At 50.9% G+C, this 6,006-nt stretch overlaps 1 pseudogene; it reads right to left on the bottom strand.

Moving 5' to 3' along the window:
* PLA2G10IP (phospholipase A2 group XI, pseudogene) lies at positions 935 to 4,625 on the bottom strand (annotated as a pseudogene).

The following is a 6,006-nucleotide window of genomic DNA, read 5'->3' as shown; positions in this document are numbered from 1 at the left end:
TGTTATTGCTTTGTTTCAATATCTGGTATGATTGCCTGAGGGACCTGAGGTTTTTAATCGTAGGGGTTTTTTTAATCTTTAGAAGTGGTTGGTTATGTAAAATATTATTATTTGTTTTTTTTTTGAGACTGGAGTTTGCTCTGTCACCCAGGCTGGAGTGCAGTGGCTCGATCACAGCTCACTGCAGCCTCAACCTCCTGGGCTTCAAGCAATCCTCCTGCCCCAGCCTCCCAAGTAGCTGGGATCACAGATGTGTGCCACCACGCCTGGCCAATGTTAAAAAATCCTTTAACTTTTTTGTAGAGATGCACTCCTGGACTCAAGCAATCCTCCTACTTGTCCCGACCACCAGCCTCTTTCTGATAAACATTTACACTGTTTATTATCTGATGCCATTTCTATCTTCTTCCTTGTCATCCAGACATCAAAGAATTAGGTTTCTTCAGGGTTTTCTTTTTCAAGTGCTCAGTGTTAAAGATCACTCACATTAGGGCCAGACACCACGGCTCATGCCTGTAATCCCAGCACTTTGGGAGGCCGAGGCGGGCAGAGCACTTGAGGTGGGGAGTTTGAGACCAGCCTGGCCAACTTGGTGAAACCCCACCTCTACTGAAAAAATACAAAAATTAGCTGGGCGTGATGGTGCATGCCTGTAGTCCCAGCCACTTGGGAGGCTGAGGCATGAGAATCGCTTGAACCCAGGAGGCAGAGGTTGTAGTGAGCCGAGATCACATCAGCACACTCTAGCCTGGGTGACAGAGCGAGACTGACTCAAAAAATAAATAAAATAAATATCACTTACATTAGATATACCCAAGGGGTGGTCTATAGAGACTTGGAAGCAGTGGTTATTGCAACAGGGGCACGGAAGTCATCTGGCTATGCCAGGGTGCCCAGGGGATACTCGGGGTGGGTGGCATGGTGCTGCTGGGGACTCACCGCACAGGACGCTCTGATTGACGCACTGCCAGGAGTAGCGCTCTGTCTTGGGGCTGCAGCCGGCCTCCTCAGCTCGAGTGTAACAACAGTCGTGGCCATGGCAGCACCTGCGGATGTCACATGGGCAGGACAGCAGGTGGGTGAAGCTCTCTCCTGGCCCTCCTCTTGCCAGGACTATGGGTGACTGAAGACCCCCAGGGAGGCACAGCATCCTCTTATCTAAGATTTTTTTTTTTTTTTTTTTTAAGAGACAGGGTCTTTCTCTGTCGCCCAGGCTGGACTGCAGAGGCACAATCATAGCTCACGGCAGCCTTGAACTCCTGGGCTCAAGCGATCCTCCCACTTCAGTGTCCCAAGTAGCTGAGACTACAGGCACACGCCAGCATGCCCGGCTGGTTTTTTAATTTGTATTTCCTTTGAGACAGCGTATCTCTCTGTTGCTCAGGCTGGAGTGCAGTGGCTCAATCAGCTCACTTTAGCCTTGAACTCCTGGGCTCAAGTGATACTGCCACCTCAACCTCCCAACTATGCTACTACAGGAACACAAACTCCTTTTTTAAATTTTTTATGGATATGGGGTCTTACTATGTTGCCTAGGCTGGTCTCGAACTCCCAGGCTCAAGCAGTCCTCCTACCTCAGCCTCCCCAAATGCTGGGATTACAGGTGGGAGCTACTGTACGCCTGGCCTTATCTAAGCTGTTTCCCTGAAAATCCCCGTCTTGGGTAATGATTCCATTGGCCCCACCATGCCCTCTGCCTTCCTGGCTGTGCCCAAGCTTGGTCCCTGCCTGCCTGCCTGCCTCCCTCTCTGGGTCTCGAGCTCCTGTGACACATGACTCCTCTCTCTTCCTGGAGTGATCCAAGCCCTGCCACTTCCTGACTTTGCCCACACTGTACCCTCTGCCTGGGGCAACTTCATGTCTGCCCATTGTCCCTTAGGCCTCAGCCCAGGCACAAGCCCCTGCCTCCGGAGGTCATCCAGGCCTCACCAGGCTACACCCTCTCGTAAAATTGGATTCCCTCCCTTCAGGGCAGGTTTATAATGAAATCCTCCTCAGAGGCCAGGTGCGGTGACACCCATCTGTAATCCCAGCACTTTGGGAGGCTGAGGTGGGAGGATCACTTGAGGCCAGGGGGTCGAGACCAGCCTGGGCAACATAAGAGAGACTCTTGTCTCTATAACAAATTTAAAAATTAGTCACCAGGCCAGGCTCAGTGGCTCATGCCTGTAATCCCAACACTTTGAGAGGCCGAGGCAGGTGGATCACGAGGTCAGGAGTTCGAGAGCAGCCTGACCAACATGGCGAAACCCTGTCTCTACTAAAAATACAAGATTAGCCAGGCATGGTGGCACGCACCTGTAATCCCAGCTACTCGGGAGGCTGAGGTAGGAGAATTGCTTGAACCCAGGAGGTGGAGGTTGCGGTGAGCCAGGATCACGCCATTGCTGTCCAGCCTGAGCAACAGAGCAAGACTCTGTCTCGAGACAATAAAAACACACAAAAAATTAACTCGCCATGATGGCACATGCCTATAGTCCTAGCTACTTGGGAGGCTGAGGTGGGAGGATTCCCTTCAGCCCAGGAGTTTGAGGCTGCAGTGAGCCACTATGATTGTGCCACTGCACTCTAACCTGGGCAAAAGCGAGACCCCAGGCTAGAGTGCATGATTTTGGGTCACTGCAACCTCCACCTCCCAGGTTCAAGTGATTCTCCTGCCTCAGCCTCTTGAGTAGCTGGGACTACAGGCATGTGCCACCACGCCTGGGTAATTTTTGTATTTTTAGTAGAGACAGGGTTTAGTAGAGACCATGGTGAAACCCCGTCTCTATTAAACAAATCTCTACTAACCCCATCTCTACAAAAAACAGCTGGGCGTGGTAGTGCACACCTGTAATTCTAGCTACTTGGGAGGCTGAGGCACGAGAATCATTTGCATCTTGGAGGCAGAGTTTGCAGTGAGCTGACATCGCACCACTGCGCTCCAGCCGGGATGACAGAGCAAGACCCTGTCTCAAAAAAAAGAAAAAGGAACAAACAACAGCAACGACAACAAAAAAACCTCTGTGTCAATCACAGCCTACAAGCTAGGGGAGAGGCGGCCGAATTCTGCCCTCTGCTAACTAACTATAGCTTTGTGGAAATGGGTGAATGGCGTGCCCTTGTGAGCCTCAGGGCCCCATCTGTAAAATGGGCATAACTGTCATGCCCGTCTTTAAGAACAGCCTTGGGGGTAAATGAGTGGAAGTCATGGAAAGATCTCAGCCCACAACCTTCCACAGAACAGACGCTTCTCACACAGTAAGTAGCAGGAGTGCAGAGGCTGCAGGCATGAATCCAGCCAGACTGCCTGGGTTCAAGTCCCAGCTCCCACGTCTTGGTAACTATGTGGCCTCAGACAAGTTACTTAATATTTCTTTTTTTTTTTTTCAGACGGAGTTTTGCTCTGTCACCCAGGTTGGAGTGCAGTGGTGTGATCTCGGCTCATTGCAACCTCTGCCTCCCGGGTTCAAGCAATTCTCCTGCCTCAGCTTCCTGAGTAGCTGGAATTACAGGCACCTGCCACCACACACAGCTAATTTTTGTATTTTTAGTAGAGACGGGGTTTCACCATGTTGGCCAGGATGGTCTCGAACTCCTGACCTCGTGATCTGCCTGCCTCAGCCTCCCAAAGTACTGGGATTACAGGCGTGAGCCACCGCACCTGGACACGTTACTGAATATTTCTGTGCCTAGGTTTCTTCATGTGAAATGGGATTGTTGTGAGAACACAAAGGGATTCCCAGGGCAGTTCCTAGTGCATAGTCTGGCTGCCTTTGTATGTGTGTGTGTGTGTGTGTGTGTGCACGCGTGTGTGTGTGTGTGTTTAATATAGAGACAGGGTTTCACTCTGTTGCCTAGGCTCGTTTCAAACTCCTGGGCTCCAGTGATCCTCCTGCCTCGACCCAAAGTGGTGGGATTACAGGCATGAGTCAACACACCTGGTCACTTTATATTATTATTATTTTTTTTCTTTTGAGACAGGGTTTGGCACTGTTGTCCAGGTTGGAATACAGCGGTGCAATCTCAACTCACTGCAAACTCCGCCTCCCGGGTTCAAGCAATTCTCCTGCCTCAGTCTCCCGAGTAGCTGAGATTACAGACGCCTGCCACCACACACAGCTAATTTTTGCATTTTTAGTAGAGATGGGGTTTCACCATATTGGCCAGGCTGGTCTTGAACTCCTGACCTCAAGTGATCTGCCGGCCTCGGCCTCCCAAAGTGCTGGGATTACAGGAGTGAGCCACCGCTCCTGGCCAATTTTTTAAGGCAACGTTTTCAGCCCATGGCCAGGGTAAGGCACAGCTAGTACCAAGATCTGGCTTCACTGGCCATGTTATCCAAGAGGCCTCTGCCTGCCTGCAAAGTAGTACTGCACACTGGGATCTCCCTGGACCAAACCCCAGCTTCAGTTTTGGGTACTTCCTCATAAGCCTTGACTACCCCAGAGTGTGAGGGATTTTGCAGCCTGGTCCCAGGCATGCACTCACCAGTCAATGGCATCGCGGGGCTGGCCATGGCCTCCCAAGCCACAAAAGCAACCATATTTCACATAGGCGATGGGAGTTCAGGGACCAACACAACCCACAGTTCCTGCCAGTTCCAGGATCCCACGCCGGTGCACACGTAATATCCTGGAGGCTGGGGGGTAAACAAAGGTGACAGGCTGCAGGTCAGGGCTTCCCAGACCCCTGGGAAGGGCATGAGCCTGAGAGGAGCCTAGGTATTACAGCCTGGCTGTCTGGGTTTGAATCCTACTTCCTGGCTGTGTGACCTTGGACAAATTCCTAACCTCTCTGGGCCTTGGTTTCCTCATCTGTGAAATGGGGGATAAGCTGACTTCAACTCATATGAATGAAATGAGATAATGAGTATAAAGCCCCTGGTGCATGAAAAGGCTATTATAATCCGGCTGGGCTCAGTGGCTTACACCTGTAATCCCAAGATTTTGGGAGGCCCAGGCGGGCAGATCACCTGAGGTCAGCAGTTCAAGATCAGCCTGGCCAACATGGTGAAACCCCATCTGTAGTAAAAATACAAAAATTAGCCGAGCATAGTGGTGCATGCCTGTAATCCCAGCTACTAGGGAGGCTGAGGAAGGAGAGTCACTTGAACCTGAGAGGCGAAGATTGCAGTGAGCCAAGATTTTGCCACTGCATTCCAACCTGGGCGACAGAGCAAGAGTCTCAAAAAAAGAAAAAAAAAAAAAGGCTAACTATTATAATCAAGGTCCTCAAGGTAGCCAAGGAGGGAAAAGAGTCGTGCATGAAACCTTTGTCCAGTTCCCTGTGTTGGGCACTCGGCATCATATGAGCCTACAGGTGTCTGTCACCAAGGTGGGCTCCTCTGTGGCAGCTCCCAGGCCCTGGCACTGCCCTGTGCTCATGACTTTTCCTCCAGACTCAGGCTCAGGGCCCTTGGTATCTCCTCTTATTTTCACTGCCAGATAGGAAGGCCCCTTGGACTGAGCCCAGCCATTTATCTAGATCCTGGCACAGCTTGGACATGTAATGGTGCCCAATGCATGTGACTGGAACCCCTGCATTGGACATGTAGGAAACGAGGCCAGCCGGGAAAGGTAACCCCACATTCCCACAGCCAGCAGGAACTCAAGCAGAGGCTTCAACCCAGGCTTCTGACTTGCAAACCAGTGCTCCTTCCTCCTTACACAGTAACAACAGGGGAAGGTGGCCTTCCAGGTTGCCAGAGCCGAGTGGTACCAGCAATAGAGTGGAAACTCACACACAGGCTTGCCTGCTTCCTGGTTTAGGTTTAGGGTTTATACGGCTCCGGGAGGTTGATGCATTGTGTTTGATCATCCCCTTTTTTTTTTTTTTGAGACAGAGTCTCATTCCTGTTGCCCAGGCTGGAGCACAGTGGTGTCATCTTGCTCACAACAGCTCCGGGAGGTTGACGCATTGTGTTTGATCATCCCTTTTTTTTTTTTTTTTTTTTTTTTGTTTGAGACAGAGTCTCATTCCTGTTGCCCAGGCTGGAGCACAGTGGTGTCATCTTGCTCACAGCAA

Source organism: Homo sapiens, chromosome 16, assembly GCF_000001405.40.
Source record: "Homo sapiens chromosome 16, GRCh38.p14 Primary Assembly".
Lineage (NCBI taxonomy): Eukaryota > Metazoa > Chordata > Mammalia > Primates > Hominidae > Homo > Homo sapiens.
This window is presented reverse-complemented; position numbering and strand designations above follow the sequence as displayed.